General features: G+C 47.0%; 1 protein-coding gene across 4 annotated transcripts in view; it reads left to right on the plus strand.

The window, feature by feature from the left end:
• The window catches only part of TMEM178B (transmembrane protein 178B), a 437,233-nt gene that overhangs the window by 359,910 nt on the left and 57,709 nt on the right, over positions 1-19,614 (plus strand). For all 4 annotated transcript variants that reach the window (XR_001744505.2, XM_017011636.2, NM_001195278.2 and 1 more), the window contains exon 3: positions 3,635-3,772. Coding sequence is in view for 3 of the 4 variants with exons in the window: in XM_017011636.2 (XP_016867125.1) it covers positions 3,635-3,772 (138 nt within the window). In the remaining variant the exon portion in view is untranslated. The remainder of the gene's footprint in view (positions 1-3,634; positions 3,773-19,614) is intronic.

Genomic DNA, 19,614 nt, shown 5'->3' on the forward strand with positions numbered 1-19,614 from the left:
CCCTTTGGGAGGAGGCAAAGAGTACCTCATCTGTGTTAGAGGACAACAGCCCCTCCCCGACCTGGAACACAGACTTTTGGAAGAGGAATTATTGTCTTCATTTTGCTGCTGTTCTGCCTTTTCCTCTGTTTTCTTCTAAGTAAAACACTTTGTTCTCATTCTCCAACAACTCTCACCTTCCCTCTTTTTCTAATTTGCATTTCCATTTTGTTTTTCTGCCCAGCCCACTTTCCCATCCGTGGCCAAGGTGGACACCTCTTATTGACCCATTGTCCACTTAATTCCCCCAGGCAGAACCTTTGCTCCCTGGCGTCTGCAGAGCCTGGGGAACAGTACAGGCCTTCCAATGAGCAAAGCCAGGTGACAGCTGGGCCTCCAGCAAGGTGGGACTCTGCAAAGTTGTCCTGTCTAGTGCTGCTGAATGGGATAGGATTTCTCCTAGAAAGAAACCTCCACACATCGAAAAGAGAAGGGTGCAGAAGATGAATGTGCTGACCGTTTATACCTCCTGTTTGTTTATTTTTATCAGTTTCAGATATTTGTACATTTTTGGGATACGTGTGATATTCTGATAAATGCATAGAATGTATAATGATCAAGTCGGGATATTGAGAATATCCATCACCTTGAGCATTTATCATTTCTTGGTGATGGAAACATTCCAAACCCTCTTTTCCAGCTATTTTGAAGTACACAATACATTTTTGCTAACTGTAGTTACCCTACTCTGCTATCAAACATTAGAACTTATTTCTTCTAACTGTATGTTTGTGCCCATTAACCAATCTTTCTTCATCCACACCCGTCCCAGCCTCTGGTAACCGTTACTGTACTTTGATTAGATCAACATTTTTAGGTCTCACATATGAGTGAGAACATGCAATATTTGTCTTTCTGTGGCCTGGCTTATTTCACTTGACATAATGACCTCCAGTTCCATCCAGGTTGCTGCAAATGACAACATTTCATCCCTTTCATGGCAGAATAGTATTCCATTGTGTATATGTAACACATTTTCTTTATTCATTCATTGAAAGACACTTCTCATGATTTTGGTATAAAAACACATGAATCAATGAAACAGAATAGAGAACCCAGAAATCCACATATTTATAGCCAACTGATTTTCAACAAAGGCAGCAACATACACTGGGGGAAGGACATCCTCTTCAGTAAATGGTGCTCCGGTAAATGGAAAGACTGGATACTCATATGCAGAGGAATGAAACTAGGCCCCTGTCTCTCACCAAGTAAAAAAATAAACTCAAAATGGATTAAATACTTAAACGCAAAATCCAAAACTATACATCCTGTTTAAGGAAGTATAAGCCCCTTACAGGGAAACCTTCTTTTCATTGAAAATAAGCTGTTCTCTCTTTTCCTCTTCCCACCACCTTTTGGCCCTTGAAGATGATGGGGAGTAGAAGCATTGGTAGTAGAGTATCCCATTTCCAGGAGATGATCCAGATGGGATCACATGTCAAGTGGGGACCATTGTCTACTGAGAAGGCAGCTCAGGCCTCGGTCACTCCAGAGTCTCTTGTGGTGGTGGGGAAAGCAGGGACTAAGGTATAGGGCTGGTGGCCATGGAGACAGCATTTGGGGAGATGGAGGGAGAGGACGGCACAGATGATTCAATAAGAAGGGGCAGGAGTGCACCTTCCCTTCTCTGACTGGCTGTGGCTGCCCACGCAGGCCGCTGGCCTCACAAGCTCCTATTGTGATCAAACGATGGTTTCAGCAGTTCCATCTGACACATATGGTAATATGAGCAGGGGGTGCAGTGCTGCATGATAATCAGGCACCCTGGGCAGTTCCCATAAGTGACTGTAAGCATCACTTCTACCTGGCTGGGACAGGCATCCCGGGTCAGCCAGGGCAGACAAGGGCGGCCCTAGTAGAGCAGGAACCTGCCCTGTGGCTCTCAAAGATCTCTGCCTCTGTGACTGGAGCCCTGTCCTCCTTCCTCTGTAGGCCCCTCCTCACCAGAAGGAAGGGTCTGCTGCTGTTCCCCTCCTGTGCCCCGTCTCTCCCCACTCCCCGGCCAACTTCCTCCCTGGCCGGGGGCTGTCAGTGTCTGATGGTCAATGTCAGGACAAGAAGGGTGGTCTGGATCCCTCTACAGAGGGGTCTTAAGCCAAACTGCACCATATGTCTTTTTGTTTGCTCTGCTGGGGTTCCCCATGGGGTGGCTGGAGTGAGAGAGAGGAATGGAGGGGATGGGACCTGGACACCTTTTGAGGTATGTGGTCTCTGAGGTATTCTCCAAAGAGACCTGTGGGGTGTTTGTTTCTCAGGGTTGAGAAAAGATTGTCCAGGCAGGCTGCAGCAGCTGGTGTGCTTGCACGGGGTGTGGATGTGGTTTGCTTCAGGCACTTCCCTTTGACAGAGAGGGACGCCCAAGGATCCTCCAGGCTGTTCTGCAACCCCCTGGGAAGCACAGACCCTGGGGCAGAGGCAGGATAAATAGCTTTGCTCCTGTGTGGAGCCCCACTGGCAGGCTTAGGGCACAGGCTCAGATGTGGATGGGTGGAGAGAGGGCCCAGGGAGCTGTGGTGGGTGTTGGTGAAGGGTAGAGGGGTGGGTGGCATGAGCAGAGGGTCAGAAGGTTGAGCTCTAGAGAAGGGGTGATGGATGAGGAAAGTGTGCCCGGAGCTGGTGGGGGCTGGGGTGCGGTGGGCACGTGGAAGGGTAGGGGGCTTGAGAGCAGCTCTGGCTGCCTCTGCGTGCAGGAGGGCAGGGGTGGGAGCTGGGGAGGAAGCCAAGCCAGATGCTGAGTGGCCAACTGAGCCATGGCAACAGCTCTGCCCTCTCCCTTCTGCTAAAAATACTGCCTTTCCAGACAACCCTCTTCCTCCTGGAGCTGATGGGTTAGCCAGGCGTGGAACAGAGAAGGGCCTGACTCAGAAAGCGGGGCTGACCCGGGGGTGGAGGAGATGGAGTAAGTGCAAGAAAGGGGTCTGCTCTGGAGCTTAGAGGAGAGCAGGAAGTGTGGCTCTCCTCCTGCAGCCCTGCATGCAGGGAAAGCTAAGCCCAGGAGCCAGCTTAGAGTTGAAGGAACAGAACACCAGACCCCCCATGCTGTTAGCTTTCCCTCACCTGCAACCTCCTAGTGAGACCAGGAGAGCCTGGCAGGTGCAGCCTGACTACCCAGATCCAGCAGCCCATTTCTGTGGTTCTCAGCTCCTTGGAGAGGCTGAGTGATGCTGTGTTTGGAAGCTGGGAGTGCTAGACAGGTCTGGGTTCCAGTCTCTGTTCTACCGCTTACTAGCAGTGTGCCTTTCAGCAAATAGGAATAAAGATAGTACCTGTCTCAGAAGGTTGAGATAGATATATAGCTAGGCAGCGCTATGCCTGGCACAAAGGAGGCATAGAAGAAATGGCCACGATATTGTGATGATCTGTCCCTGTGCTTAGGATCTAAACTGCTGTGGCCTGTTTGTGCACACAAGGATAGAGTCACCACAGGGGATCCTCCCTCTGCAAAGATTGTGTGCTCCTATCTGAGAAGGGCAGGTTGCCTTCCTGCTCCTGGAGGGCCACTCCCTCTCTGCACCCACCCCAGGGCTGGGGTATACCCTGGCCCTCAGTCCCAGGCTCTGCTGCTGACTGTTGCTCGCCTGCTTCCCCACAGACCTGCGCAGAATGACGGCTGGCTTCATGGGCATGGCGGTGGCCATCATCCTCTTTGGCTGGATCATCGGCGTGCTGGGCTGCTGCTGGGACCGAGGCCTTATGCAGTACGTGGCAGGGCTGCTCTTCCTCATGGGAGGTAAGGCTACGGGCTCGGCTTGTGGGTGGCAGTGGACAGGGTCCTGTTTACCACAATTTGGGGAGAATGGCCAGAGGGCACAGCAGAGGGGACCATGACGTGACTGGGGTTCTCATTCACTCATCCATTGGTTCACAAGCACTTCTTGAGTTGCTTTTAGCTCCTCACCACTGCACCAGCTGTTGGGGATACAAAGGAAAATAAGACACGGTCCTCACCTTTCGCTCAGAGCTGACTGCCTGTGTGGAAGAAAGACACTTACGGAGATGATCATGAGACGGGTGGTTACGGCAGATGGAGATATCAGACCTGGAACAAGCATGAGCCCAGGAAGTACTTGGGCATTTCATTATATGCAGGCCCTGGGCATTAGTGTGGGAAGCTGGAAGCAGGTGCTATCTGGGCACTTTCCGTCCAAAAGTCTATCTTCACCTCTGACTTATGGATCCTGAAGCTGCCCCCCTTTCAAGTAAGGCGGGGGTGGGGCAGGACTAGACCCTCTCTTATATCTGTCTCTCTTACTCTATTATTTTACCGTCATGTGCATAGGACCACTCCAGTGTCCCTCTAAAGGGATTCTACATAAGGAGAACTGCACAACTATGTGGGAATAGGGGTCCAGTCCATGGGAAGTAACAGTGAGTCCACTCCTCTTGTGTCTCTTCTTTCCCTGTAAGAGCTAAACTGTGCTTTTTGGTCTCCTGGTTTGAGTTTCAGTCCCAAGCTGAAGTTGACCACTGGGTATGTCCATCACCATCTACCCCTCAGACAAAGGTAGATGGGTGGATTGTGTGGGGCTCAGTAGAGGGGGATTGGGGCCTGGACAGAGGGAATTAGAAATATTGTGGCTCACACCTGTAATCCCAGCACTTTGGGAGACCAAGGTGGGTGGATCATGAGGTCAGGAGTTCGAGACCAGACTGGCCAGCTTGGTAAAACCCCGTCTCTACTAAAAAAAAAAAAAAAAAAAAAAAAAAAAAATTAGCCAGGCATGGTAGCGCGTGCCTGTAGTCCCAGCCACTTGGGAGGCTGAGGCAGGAGAATTGCTTGAACCTGGCAGGCAGAGGTTGCAGTAAGCCAAGATCGTGCCACTGCACTCCAACCTTGGTGATAGAGCAAGATTCCGTCTCAAAAAAAAAGAAAGAAAAAGAAAAAAGAAATGTTTATGGAAAGAAATAAAAGTAAGTCCTGCATTTAGAAACAAATGTCAGTTAGAATTTAGGCACCTGTAGCAAACACCCAACTCAGGTCCCTTCTGTGAGCCACCAGGCTCTGGGTTTCTGAACAGGGGCAGAGGGTGAAGGAGAGAGCCATGCTGGCTCTTTGTCTGCAGGTCAAGCTGGGGACAGGAGGAGTTCATTGCTCTAGGTGTATGGAGTGATCTTGGGGGTTAGTGAGCTGTGGGATTTGGCTTGAGTTCTGAATTTATTGAAGGTCTACCCTTATTCCCTTGAAACACAGCCATTCTGTGCCAAAGACAGGCAGGGTCTTTCCAAGGAAAAATCACTCAGGGCTAAAAAAACCGTCTGCTGTTAGAGTCAGGATGCCCCATGCCAGAGCTGCCTCCTCAGTGAGCCCCACACCTGTGGTTATGGCAGAGGCTGGGGGAGTGAGGGGGACGTGATGGCTCTGTCTAGTAGTTTCCACACTCCTCCTTCTGGTCTCCCACAGAGACAGAGGCTGACAAAACCAGGCATGCTTCCCTGCTCTGTGCCTCAGCATACCCTTCAGTGAAACAAGGAGTCAAACTAGCTTGATGATTTCCACACTATATTTTAGCAATGGAAGCTTTTTTGGTTTTCCTTTTGCAATCCAAATCTTATGTAGCCCCCCAAAATATAAAAAGATAAAAGTGGAGCAGCTCTGTTTGTAGTGAGTGTTCTCTCTAAGACTCTTTTGGATATATAAAGGCAGGCTCTGGTAAAACAAGGCTTTCCTAAGGCTCTAGAGAGGTCTCCCAGGAATCCAAGAAAAGCTGAGCAAACGGGCCGCGGGCAGATAAGGAATCCAGTGAGCCCTGGGGGCCAGCTTCTTTCATCTCCACTTCTTTGATGGCATTTGAGGCTCCTTCATGGTTTTTCATTCTCCCCTCTCTTCATGCCAGGCACAAGGTTCAGATCCTGCCCAGGTGCTACATCTCCAGGACTCTTCAACTCTTTGACAACTTCCCTCTGGCCTGTTGAAGCCAGCTTCCAGAGAAAGAGATTGTGTAATTCACTGGCTTATCTTTTCCAGACAGGGAACACATCACTGGTCAAACAATAAAGGGACAGAATTTGGTGACAGTGGTTGACCAACAGATGTGACTGTGGTAGGGTCATTGGGCTATATCCCACTTAACTGAGACCTTGGTGAGCACCCTCCCAGGATGGAGTGTGGGGGCAGTGAGGGATATGATTGTGCCTGGAGCCCTGCCCTTGGACCGTGCTGAGGCACCTCCCAAAAGCACAGGGCTCTGGGGAAGACCTCTGAATGCCCCTGGGCTCAATTAGGAGTCAGAGGCCCCTTTCTATAGGGTGAATGAGTGAGAGCCTTGCTTACCTTTGTCCAGGCAGTGGTTCTCAACCACTGCACTTTAATCACCCGGAGAGCTTTTAAAAAAATACTGATGCTGGGACCCCACTCCAGACCCATCCAAGTGGAACTTCTGGGGATGATCTTAATGTACAGCCAGAGTTGGGAACTAGTGGAAGAGATGAACTTTCCAGTTCTTTCTAGCGCTAATATTTTATGGTACTAGGGATGAACTGGTTAGCCAAGACCTCTCATGTTTTTTTTTTTTTAACTCCAACTTTTAAGGACTATTTCTCCATACTTTATGCTGCAAGAGACAGGGCAGGGCTGAGATGGGGCCTCGATTATTACTGGGAAAGCTCATCCAAGCTTTTAGTACTGAGGGTCCCAGGTAAATCTGCTTTCTTGGGGACATGCAATCTATTTTTTAAGTGGCAAAACCATCCTGTAAGATACAGTGTTAGCATCACAGAAAGATCTGGGGAAGCTGCTGTTCTAAAAGCTGCCTCTTGCTGACTGCGGCACCTTCCAGGATGGAGCAAATTCATCTCATCCACAGATCAGGTCGCCTTCTTATTTGTCCTGGTGCGTTGTTACTTGTGTCCATAGGTAAAGCCATGTCTTCCTGAAAGAGTCTGGGGAAAAAACGGATGTCCACATACCTTGTGAGTACCATTAGGCACTAACAGAAGGGGCTGGAGAACAAAGCCACTAAGAGCTGGTCCCTCGAAGTGTGGTCTTTCTTGAAGATGACTCTCTCAGGGGTGGGAGGGCACTCCCTTTCTTCTCTAGTTAGGGTTCTTTCCAACTGGGTTAGACACAGCTATGGGAGTCCAGAAGTCCCAGGCAGCTGCCATCTGCTGACTGTGAGCTAGGGACTAGGGAAGGAGCAGACTAGAACAGAAGCTGCACTTCCCGCCTCTTTGCTCAGCAGATAGAGCAAACTGAGAGCCTGGGGCATCAACCCAAAAATGATGCCTTGACCTCTAGAACCCTGTATGTCAGAGAGACATGTCAGCACCACCCCTCTCAGAACCTGGCCAGTCCCTGCTCTCTAGGAGTTAATCTTTAGGGGTTGGCCTGTTGAAGAATTTGGAGAGTAAGCCACCTGTGACAGCCATCTCATAGATAGAGCAGAGCAATCAGCCACTCGAACCATAGAGAGTTATCACAAAGTGGGACAGAAAGGCCCCGTGGCCTTAGCTTTCACCCAGGCTCAGGTTGCTCACCCAGGCTCAGGTTGCAGGCATCTATAACCGAGCACCGACAGGAGCCTGAGGGTTAAAATGGGGCTACAAGTGAGAAGGGTGGGGGGACAACATCAGCAGTGCCTGGAGCTGGCCAGGCCTGGATGTGGAGCAGGTACAGCAGGAAGAGGCAGCAAGAATGAAGAAGGTAAATTTGGAGACAAGAGTTCAAGAGATGAAATTGCAGGTGACTTCAGAGGAAACTGCCAAGGCCAACATGAAAATGGAAGAATTCTATCCCCAACCTCTCCTCTCTTCCAATATGAAGGAAGATGGCCTGCGCTGGGCACTTTTCTGTTCCAGGTTTAACTATTTCCTGGTCAAAGTAGGGGCACCCTGCACCCTGGGAAAGAATTAGCAACAAATTGTTTAATGAACGCTCAGCCCCGAGGAGATGATTAATTAAGTAGGGCAGCTTTGCTCAACCAGGAGGCCGGGGGTGGCAAGTGGGATCCAGTTTTCCCTTTGGCAGGGCCTTCAGGGGAGAATCTCGCCCAGACTGGCACAACACCATTTGTGTGCCTGATGAATCACCAGTGACATTCAGAAGCTCAGGAACAGGATGCCACCAGGGAAAGACTGCAGGCAAGGGAGCACGTGACTGCTATGAGTTCCTGTGATTCCCTTGCTGGGTGCACCTCAGTACTGCTTCGTGGATACGGATCCCCAAGATGAGCATAAACATCAACGTATGCCCTACCCCATCAAGACCCCTCTCACACACCCTCCCACACTCCCTGGAAGACATCCATCACCTCCTCCCCGAATCAGGTCTAAGGCTCCATGATCTTTTGTCTAGGCTAATGCTGGAGCCTCCTCTCTAAACGCCCTGACTCCACTCTGGCCACCCTGCAATCAGTCCTTCACAGAGCAGTTAGCATAATTTTACTTAAAACCATAAATCAGATATGTCAGTCATCCACTGTCAATGGCCCAATAGCTTCCAGTTGAACTTAAAATCTGAACTCCTTACACCTCTTTAGAAGCTGTTTGTAATCAGGCTCATGCTGCCTCTCACCTCCTTTTCTGTTCCTTTCCCTAAAGTCGGGTCACTCCTACCACACTGGCTGCCTTTCTACCCTGGAACACCCAAAGTTTTACTTCAAGGCCCTGGAGTGATCTGACTGCTTTGCACATAGTGTTTCCTTGTAATCCCTTGTGGATGGCTCATTTTTCCAATTCAGGTTCCACCCTTTTAGAGAGGGCTTTCTTGACCACCCAGTTTCATGCAGCCACCTAGGCATGCTCTACACTTTACTTAATTTTGAGTAGCACCCTCTTTATTTTCCAAAACGTTTGTGGTGTTTTCATTTTGGCTGATTTCTTAGGAGCTTAAAACAACAAACATTATTTCATAGATTACATGGTTCAGAATCCCAGGTACAGCTTAACTGGATTTTCTGTGGAAAGTCCCACAAAACTGTGATCAAGGCGTCAGCTGGGGCTGGGTTCTCATCTGATGTTTGAGGCCCTCTTCCAAGATCACAATGTTGGCAGAATTCATTTCCTTGCAGCTGCAGAACTCAGGGAAGTTTGCTTATTCAAGGCCAGCAAGAGAGAGAATCTCTGACTTCTTCCATCTCTGACCTCTAGACCCTCTGTTTGTTTGATTTTTAATAGACCTTATTTTTAGAACAGTTTTAGATTTACAGAAAAATTGAGCAGATTGTAGACTTCCCATAGTATCCTCTGCCACTGTATCCAGTTCCCTGTATTATTAACATGTTACATGATTATGATACATTTGTTATTACTAATGAGTAAATATGTACATTATTATTAGCCAACGGCCCCAGCTGACTCCGATTCCCTCAGTTTTTACCTGATGCCCTTTTCTGTTCTAGGATCCCGTTCAGGACACCACACTGCACGTCATTCTCGAGTCTGCATAGGCTCCTCTTAGCTGTAGCTGTTTCTCAGACTTTCCTTGTTTTTGACGATCTTGGCAGTTTGAAAGAGTACTAGTCAGGCATATTGTAGAATGCTCTTCTATTGAAACTTGTCTGATGTTTTTCTCACGATTAGACTGGGTTAGGGGTTTTGGGGAGAAAGAGGTAAAATGCCATTTTCATCACATCATTTCAACATGATTTATGACTGTTGATATTGTCCTGATCATGTGTTTCTCAAGTTTCCACACTGTAAAATTATTTTTCCCCCATTTCCCATGACTTCCTCGGAAGGAAGTCACCACATGCAGCCCACGCTTGAGGAATGGGGCGTGAAGATGGAGTGCTGCGATGGAGATGCTCCTGTAGGATGGAGTAGCTATCTAATTTGGAATTCTTCTGCGTGGGAGGAGGTCTGTCTCTTCTCCCCCATTTATTAATTTATTCAGTCATTTATACCAGTGTGGACTGATGAGCATTTATCTTACACTTTGGGTTTAATCCAATACTACCTTCTTTTGTTGCTCTCATTGGTACAGCTTTGGCCATTGGGAGAGCTTTCTGTTGGCTCCTGTGCCTGTTTGAGATACCCCCATCAATGTGGGTTTTGGTTTTGACTACTTTTTTATTGTTTGCTTGTTGGAGCACTTAGTTTTTGGCAGGCTTATCTTATATATTTCCTGCCCTAGACCTAGAATCAGCCGTTTCTTCAAGGAGCTCTGTTTCCTTTTATTAGAGAAAGGTATCAGAAACCAAGATATGGGTGATTGGGTGCTAGGTATCTGAAATGTTTTTAACATTCTGGATTTGTTCACTGTCTCTCTCCCTGAACTTAGATATATGCTCCATGATCTCCAGAACTTTGTCTGCTTTCATGAAGGGATACCTTCCCTAAGGTATCACTAATGTCGGGAACAATGTCTGTGCTCTTAATAAATATTTGTGGAACAAATATATAGGAAAAGTGAATTGTGTGTAACAAACAAAATATTTTGGTTTTGTCTCAATAGAGCAGCAATTCTTCAGTAAAATACCCCATCTTATCTTCTGTTCCTATTCTAATCATCTCCCCTTTCACAAGATTTCTTGTCCTCTTGTTGTCTTTATTTGAACAGTCCAAGGATCTACTTCTGTTATAAACTATCTCAAATTCTTTTTGGAGATAGAGTATGAATTACACTTGAATTCATGAAGAGCTTTCTGTCTTGAACTTGGACTCATAGATATAAAATAAAAGGGACTTTAGAGACCAACCAGTTCCACTTCCTTGCGTCACCAGGTAAAAGTAGTCATGTCAAGTTGTCCTAGGTCACCTGGCCAGTGAGTGGCAGATGAGAGCTGGAGCCCAGCCTGGGACCCAGCCTGCTTTCTTGCATCCCCAGCCCTGCCCCTGCTTTTGGCACCCCGTGTTGAAGATCTCCCATGTTCAACCCCGTGTTGAAGAAGCAGGGGCCCCACAGCCCCTGCTTCTTCCCACACTAGCACAACTCTGGTTCTGGGCTTCTAAGTGGGTGCCAGTATGTGTCATTCACTCTGTGTCTCCCTCTCTCCCTTCCCTCCTTTCACAAAGCACAAAGGGGCATATGGAGGAGACCGCGGCCAGAACCAAGGGCACGGGTGGTAATGAGAAAAGGAAATCATTAAAGTTTCTTTTCCTACCACCTGTGATCAGTGTGACCTTTTATACCTTCCCAGTCAGTCAGGGGGAATGAAGAGAATGCCCTAAAGAAGCTCAGGCTATTATGTGTGAGTGATTGCAGTGATTTGCAAGCCGATGATGCCACATGTCTGGCATCTATACCCGCTCCACCAAGCTCACCAGAGAGCAGTTCAGCTGTGTGATGAACCCCCAGACACTCAGCATAACACTCTTCTGCTGCTAGACAAAGACCTTCATGGAGGCCTGGGCATTCTGAAAATATACAAGCCTAAAATGAGAAGTCCAAGGCAATGGCCATCTTGCCTGGAGGACTGTTTCTTTTAGACAGTAAAATGATTTAAGGGATCTTATAGAACAACATTCAGGTTTCCCCACCAGCCTTTCCCCACTGTTATTCCTAGCTTGCTGTACTTAGAAACATGCTAGGATGATGTTTCAAAGTAATTAAAAGTAATGACAAAAATGGCAGTTACTTTTGCACAAACCTAATATAAGTTCAGGAGGCATTATATCTCAAACTTCATGACTCTTAGGTCAGAGAGGGGAGACATGGAGTAAAAGGACCATATAAGTTAGATATTTTGGGGAGGGAGAATATATTCAGTAAGCTAATGACTTACTATGAGACAGGCTTACAATAAACCCTTGATAAATGGTGCTGTTACTGTTACATGTATAGCCTAAGTGAAGTCCATTTTAATAGGCAGAGAAGTATCTGTGAGCTATCATGGTGAATCAAGGGCAACTCTGGCATAAAACCCATCTTCTTACCCTGCCAATCTGCTTTTATAGTTTTATGTGAGATTTCACTAGAACATCACAACTCATCTCTTGACTTTTTGTCTTATAATCTTTCTTTCAAAATCCTGATTAGAGACTCACAAACTACTTCATACCCTGGAGCGTATCTTGCCTCTTGGAAAGTGCAGATTTCAATATTTATTAGCATTTGATGATTACAATTAAAACAAATCAGGGAGGGGGTAAGTCATGTCACTAAAAGACATTTGAGGGAGAAGACACATTGTCAGGAGGACTAGGAAATAACATCCGGGTTTACCTAATGTACCTCACGTAGAATGAGTGGCCAGGATGCACCACTTCAGTAACCCAGGCAGCAGGAGGGCCTCATTTTCACACTGAAGCTGGGGCAGACCCAAAGGAGTTTCACCTTTGCCACCCAATGGGACCTACCCCTTCTACAGATGTGGGGTTCAGAAGAGAACAGGGAGCAGCCTTATCCAGATGAATCCAAATCTGGTCAGCAATTAAAAGCCTTGTCAGAATTCCCCATCACTCGCCTGCCAAGCCTTCAGGAAAGCCACAGTGCCACATGTTCGCCAGAGCAGGAGGAGTCTTTGTCATTGGCTTTCTGGATGGAAATGCTAAGACAGAGCAGCCCCTGGAAGGAAATGCAAAGGAGGATGGTTGGTGAAGGCATCTCAGAGAGTTTCTTTGGGAAGAGCCAACCCTTGTCTACACTTGCACATGAGCTGTCTTCCATTCTCTGCCTCTTGATTGGGGGTGAGAGTCCTAGTTAAGTGGAATCACCCAATTGAAGAGGGAATTATGGTTTTGTCATGGAGAACCAGTCCAGGACCAAAAGAGTCTTGGACTAGCCATGTGGCCCTAGGAAAGTTTCTTATCCATTTTTCATGCCTTGCTTCAATTTTCTCATCTATAAAAGAGGTCCAATAACAGGACACACTTCAGGCACAGCTATGAGACTTGCAGAGTTAATACATGTGAAGGGCTCACAACAATGCCTGGCATTGTGCTGAATACCTTTTAAGTTATTATTATTATTTAGCTACTGAAGTACTTCTTTTTTTAAATAACCACCTTTAGTGACACTGCCCTGAGCAGCATCATCCCATCACTACCAATGCCACACAAACGCACTACATGCCATCGAGATGAAAAAGAAGAAATCTTTAGACAGGTAATGTCTCTCCGACTGATCACCCGTACTCATTCATTTATTTGTTTGCTCAATAAATACTGATTGCCTATTATGTGCCAGACACTGTCGAGGCACCTAGGATACAGGGAAGAGCAGGATAAAGTCCTCAGGAAGCTTACGTTCAAGTTGGAGAGACAGACCAAAAGCAAGTGCCATAAAAATATAGTGCGATGTTAGGTGATAAGAACTATGGAGAAAAATAAAGCTGGGAAGGTGATAGAGATGGGGGCATGGCTGTTGTTAGAGAGGGCTTGGAGGGCCTATCAGTGGTGGTGATGTTTGAACAGGGCTTGAATGTAGGGGGCAGGAAGCCATAAGAAGACTTGGGGCAAGATCATGCCAGGTAAAATGAGCAGCAAGGAGAAGGGGCCTGGGAGAGGACTGAGCCTGTTGGGTCTGAAGAAGTTGAGTGAGAGGATGACCGTGATGGGAGCAGAATGAGACAGAGATGACTCCGCCAAGAGCAGATCATTAAGGGCCTCAGAGGCGTGGGCAGGGGCTGATGGACTGAGGGGCGTCCATCCGCATTCTGCTTGCTCTGCTCTCTATCTGTTTCACAGCTTGCCCTGGGCTTCTTTCCTGGGCAATCATTTGATACCGTGTGACTTTTATCAACCTCTCTGGCTATGTCAGCCTCTCTACCACCTGCCACTCCCAGTTCCAGTGAGTGGGGTGCTGTGTCTGTCCATATCTGGAGAAGCCCGAGCAGGGTTAGGGGCTGGCATGTGCCCCCTGAAGGTGTTGCAGGGGCAGCCGCACCATCTAGCCTGTACCAGCTATACAATTTGTGGGGCCCAGTGCAGGATGAAAACCCAGGATGTCTCGTTCAAACATGATTAAGAATTTCAGGACAGCAACAGTAGAGGATCCAAGCAAGTGGGCGACTGCATAGATCACATGCCCATGAAGCCAGTTCTGCCTCTAGCATTGTCCCACGCTTAAATGCCCTGAGCCCGGAACTCCATAGACTTTTGCTGCAGGGGCTCCCAGAGATCTTAAGAAACCAGATCTCGTCTCTATTCTGCTTGTAAACCCCCTTCTCCCTAACCAGTCTGCTGTGCTTAAGACCACCGCTTGCCTTTGATGACTGAATAATCACACAAAGCATGTGTGCCTCTTTCCTTATGTCAAAAGCTACTCCCCAAATATTGAGAACACAACCTGTTAATCAGGAAAAGCTGTTAATAAGACAATTGCTTTCTGTGATAAGAGAGAATGTACCTTGAAAAACTTTGGCAGGGCCTCCAGGGGAGGGAGTAAGATCAGAATTTATTGAGAATTGGACGTTTGATTTAAAGCCATTATTTCAATGTGGACATGTGATTAACGTTGGGTATGAATAATTAGATAATGATTGGGTAAGAATAATGATAATGTCCTGGACTGGTGGCAACAGCAAGGTGAAGATTTTGAGGCCAAGGATTCAGAGAATCTTGGGGCACATGCTGTCAGTTGATGCTTTTGATGAAAGTGTTGGTGGATCTTTTGGAAAGTTCCTGTAATGAAACAATCAAATCATTTACTTGCACAGGACAGTCCCAGAAGTGTAAAGGAGATGGCTGTATAGGAAAGCCATGTTCCTGTAGACAGTAAGGTCAGGCTTTGGTTCTCAGTGTCCAGACTGAGGGTGGGGGAGACGATTTGAGTTCTCACTTAGGATGAGTGATTTCCCCCAGCCCAGTGCCCTCCCACCTGGCCTGCCTCCACCACCACAGCCATGCTGGACATGTCCAAATGACTGAATAAATGCAGTCCAGGCTCAGACTGGGACCCCGACACCCTGAGGTCTCCTCCTGTCAGCATTAACAAGACCCTGTCTTCTCTGGGGTGGAAATCACTAAACTGTGCTGAGTTGGGGTCCGTTGCTTCCATACCACGGACAGACAAGCAAGGTGGGCCAGGAGGAGGGTGAACAGGAGGAGGGAAGAGGGGACAGGGTAGATGAAGACCATCTCTACCTCTGGAGTGGTTGTCGAGAAGGGACTGATTCCTCCAATAGCCCTTTCTGTGGAAATAAAGACCTGGAATGTGATGATGACTCCACAGTGCTGGATTGCTATGGAAACTTAGGTCATTTCTAAAGTAATTTCAAAAGTCTCCCTCTCCGTGGCTCTTCTGGGATGCTCTTACAGAGGTTTGTAAGCCTCAGAGAAAGGGAAGTTGTCAGGCAAGCTTCTGGCCCTTGAAACAAGTCACAAATCAAAGAAAAATGCTGGTTTCTGAAGTAAATGGAGAGACCCCTCCTATTAGACTTAAAAGCTGTTCCCAGGAAACAAGAGGGACAAGCAGGTCAAAGCAAAGAGGAGTTTTCTCTCTCCTGTTCTCTGAGGATGGGGGCATTGATTGCAGGGGTGGGGGCAGGTTGAGAGTAGAGGGGTTAAAGACTGGTAAGAAGTGACCAAAAATAGCCTGACCCAAGGAAGGGGGGCACTCTCTGCCCTCTTGAGGCTTTTTGTCACATCCAATCCTTGATGGCTGAGATGTACTACAGGGTCTAGAGCCTGGAGGATGGAATCGAAGCCACCGGGCACCAGGGCAAACCGGACCAGACCAGACCAGACACAGGGTCCCCCTGAGATAGGCTTAGAGCACATTCTCAGTGAGTAAGTCAGAATGTGCAGACAGGAGGGAGGGTGCCTGGCTCCCTCTGGGTACCAGAGACTCGGAGAACTGGCCCAGATCGAGAGCTGGGGAGCAAGGACTCGGCAGCAGCCCTCACTATGAGCCGCCAGACACACCTTGGCCCAGGCAATCTCTCTGAATCTCACTGCAGATGATGCACCCCTGCAAAGGAGGTGGGCGAAGCCTGGCAAGCCTGAACAATTCAGCAGTCTGTACAATACAGGGGCCTTTAAGGCCTAGGGGAGAGGGACTCTGGGAAGGTCTCAAAGCATTACACTGGAGAGGATCTATGAACATAGTGCCTGAGCTGTAAATGAATTCTGCTCTTGTGGATGTACCTGCTCATCCTAACAGAGTCTGGGCTACTGGGACAGGCAGGAAATGGTTTGCCTTTACTCACCATGTCTGAAATAATTGGGGAGTGAGGGTCTATGCAAAGCCACTGTGCCTCCCTGACTTTCTGAGTCCTCCTGATTTCAAACATAGTTTCCTATGATCAGATCATTTCTCATACCTTGTGTCTTGATTTGGGGTTTGGAAAATGCACTCACCCTATCTATAGATGCTATCAAAAGGTCAAGGACTTCCAAGATCTGGCTGTGAAGGAGGCAAGCCCATCCCCACTTTAGTGAACCATTTGAACATGCCCAATGCTTGTTATTCATGAAGTGGGCAACCAGTTGTTAAGTACCTACTACGTCCTGGGTGCTGTGGAAGAGAAAATAAAATCAAACCCATCTCTGCCTCAGGGTTGCTCACAATTGTAGAGAGGAGCCAGATACCTGGATCAATAAGAGATATATTAGCTGTTTTCTTTTTCAGGACTGAAACCCTTAAGTGCAAAATTATTAAAACAAAAGAATTTTGTGTTGTTTCAGCAGAAAAGAGGACATTGCCAATCCACCCATCCACCATTCTTGGGGCAGGAAGTTTGTGGTCACCCAAAAAGGGGGGAAAGGGGGCCATTTATGTTTTGGGTAACACCTTACAGTTCACAGAGCTTTAAAGGGAGGATAAGGTCTCATTTGACCTGAAAACCCCCATAGGAGGCAGGTGGAAGAGGTGGAGAGGGAAGAAGATGAGCCGACAACCTATAGCAGGTCAACAGTAGACACTGTTCCAACATTATCTCCTTTCATCTCAGCAGCCCTTTAAGGTCAGCATTACCACCCTAATTTTGTAGATAATAAACTAGACCCAGAGAGCCATGAAACAAGCTTGGAGTCATGCAGTTAAGTAAATGATGGAGTCTTAATCTAAGGTCTTCAGACTGGTACCCATTCTTACTTTTGTGTTCCTGTGACAGTAGGATAAAACAAAAGGTTACTGGGAATGCCACCTGCGGTAAAGGGACAGGCCTCCAAAACACAGGCTTACTCACATGCATTTGTAAGCCAGAGGGTCCTCCTCCACTCCCACCAGCAAGGGGCAGGCAGATGTTATTTGGGGTAGGAAGGAGGAAGACAGGTCAAGAAGGCAAAATGGAGCCACTTCTGCTACCGAAGTGTTAACAAAGGCCTCAGGGCCAGATGGAATGAATGTTATCTGGAGTCAGACTCAAAAGTTCTGCAACCCTGGGCAGATTTCTCCTTTATACACCTCTGTATCACCACCTGTAAAATCATACCTGCCTTGTACGGTTGTTATGAGAATTAAATGAGTTGATGTGCAAAATGCTCAGAACCATGCTTGGTCTGTAGTGAGCACTTAGTACATTTTTAATACTGCGTGCTCAGTTTAGCACTGACTCCTACCTTCTTTGCAGTTCCTAGTACTCGCTTAGAGTTTAAGTACCTTGGACAAGGTACTTGGCCACATCATTCCCAAAGCTGGAATTCAGACTCAAATCTATTTGATTCTGAAGCCAGGGCTTTTAATTATGCAGCACTGTCTTCCAAATAACCATTAACTTACTGACACGGCTGTGATCCTCAAACAGCTCATGACCTGGTAAGGTAAGAGACGACTCCACACGGCCATCTCATTATGCATGGTACATGAAGGGCAGTGTTCTTGGGCTGGCAAGAAAGAGGAAGCTGGTTCTGTTCATAAAATATTTCTTAGAGAAATAGGAAAATGAGTCTCTTTAGCTGGATATATGAACATTTTTATGTGTTTTAAGACAAACGGCAAAGCTTGGGGCTTATGAGGCAGAAAGGATAATCCTTACTTATTACTTCTAGAGCTCCACTACCAACCCACTTCATCTCTTGGAGTCTCTGTTCCCGCCCTGTCTCGGAAGCTGGCTTCTTGGAGATGTGCTTACTCCTGGCTGTTCCACCTGTCACCTGTCCTTGACCGTCCTGTTCCTGACCTCACTAGGGTTGACCTAGCTCCATCTTTCGTGAAACTCTCATCTCTTGTCTTCTATAACAATACCCTTTTGATTGTTCCTTTTTCCTTTTCTGTTTTCTTTGCCCTTTTCTACCTATAAATATAGGCTTTTGACTCTCTTTGCTTTTTACCTAAAAACATGTCCGCTTGTCAACAACACCCACCATCACAGTGATGATTATCTCTGCACAAATGAATCTGGAACATGTTATGAAACAGTCTTTCCTGAGCTCTGGCCTCATGTTTTAAAAATGCTTTCTAGACATCTCCACCTTTCTGGAACCTCAAACATACTTTGACCCGGATTTGTCCTTTCTCTATATACGTTATGCATGTGCTTTATGTTTATTGAGTACATGCTAAGTGCCTGACTGACTGTAGGCACCCAACACATGTCTGCTCTGATCTTTCCCTTCCTCCAGCAAATTAGCTTGTTTTCTTCACTTCCTTGCAGATTGGTCTATTACCTGAGTCATCTTCCAGTTTTCCGTTTTCACCCTTACCTTTCCATCAATTGCCAGCATCTGCCAATATTTCCTTTGCAATATTGTTTGCAGCTCATTCATTTGTTTCCATTCCCTGAGTGCCATCTGGGCCCTTAGTACTATTGCAGTAGTTTGGGAGTCATTTAGCCCTTGGTGGAAATCTCTGTCCCACCACTTAGTTGGCAACCTCTGAGCCTGCGTTTTCTCATCTGTAAAATTGACATAGTGCTGCTTACCCTGTAGGGTTGTTGTTTAGATAAAACAAGTTAATATATTAAAAAAAATATCTAGCAGAGAGTAGGCACTCTATAAATGTTCATTTCCCTACTTTCCACTAAATTCATCCTTTACAGCATACTGCTTTTCTAAAGTACACTTACATCATTTCTCTGGTGAAAAAATACATTGTGGCTCCCAGTTATTAAGAGAATAAAGGCCAATGTCCCCAGCCTGGGGTTGAATGTCAGACACAATCTTGTCTCATGTCTCAGACAGGCCCATGAACCACAGGTGTTCCAGTCACCCCAGCGACTGACTGTCACTGCCTCCATGACACCCTTTTCTGCCTATTGAAGCCTGAAGCTGTTGTCAAGGCTCAACTTACAGATAGCGTCTTCTAGAAACCTTTTTGAATGATCTTACCTAGACCCAGACTCCTCCTCTGAACTCAGACCTCACTTTGTTCCATTTTGATGGCATTTGCCTCATTGTGAGTGTCTTGGACAGTAGTGATCTAGTCATTTCCTAGCTTTCCTCTGAGTCAAAACCTCCTTGGTGGCAGGGGCTCCCTGCCTTGTGGGTGACTCCGGTTGTTATTTTGCTCATCTTTATTTTAAGGTTTCTGGTAACTTTGACTTCTTGGCCTTGGGTCCTTTCTGCTAAAGTGACATAAATTACAGCCAGTGCCTTTTTCCTCCAAGTCTTTCAAATATTTGGAAACAACTCTATCACACTCTTAATTATCTGCTTTACAAACTAAGTTCAGCTAAGTAAACATTGATTGGATACCTACTGTGTGCTAGACATTGTGTTAATATCTAAGACACTCAAATAGTAACTTGTATGGTCCCTGTCCTTAAAGCCTGCCCAGGCAAGTGGTAGAGGCACGTAAGTGCTCAGAGCAGCCCA

The sequence above is a fragment of the Homo sapiens genome, chromosome 7 (assembly GCF_000001405.40).
Source record: "Homo sapiens chromosome 7, GRCh38.p14 Primary Assembly".
Lineage (NCBI taxonomy): Eukaryota > Metazoa > Chordata > Mammalia > Primates > Hominidae > Homo > Homo sapiens.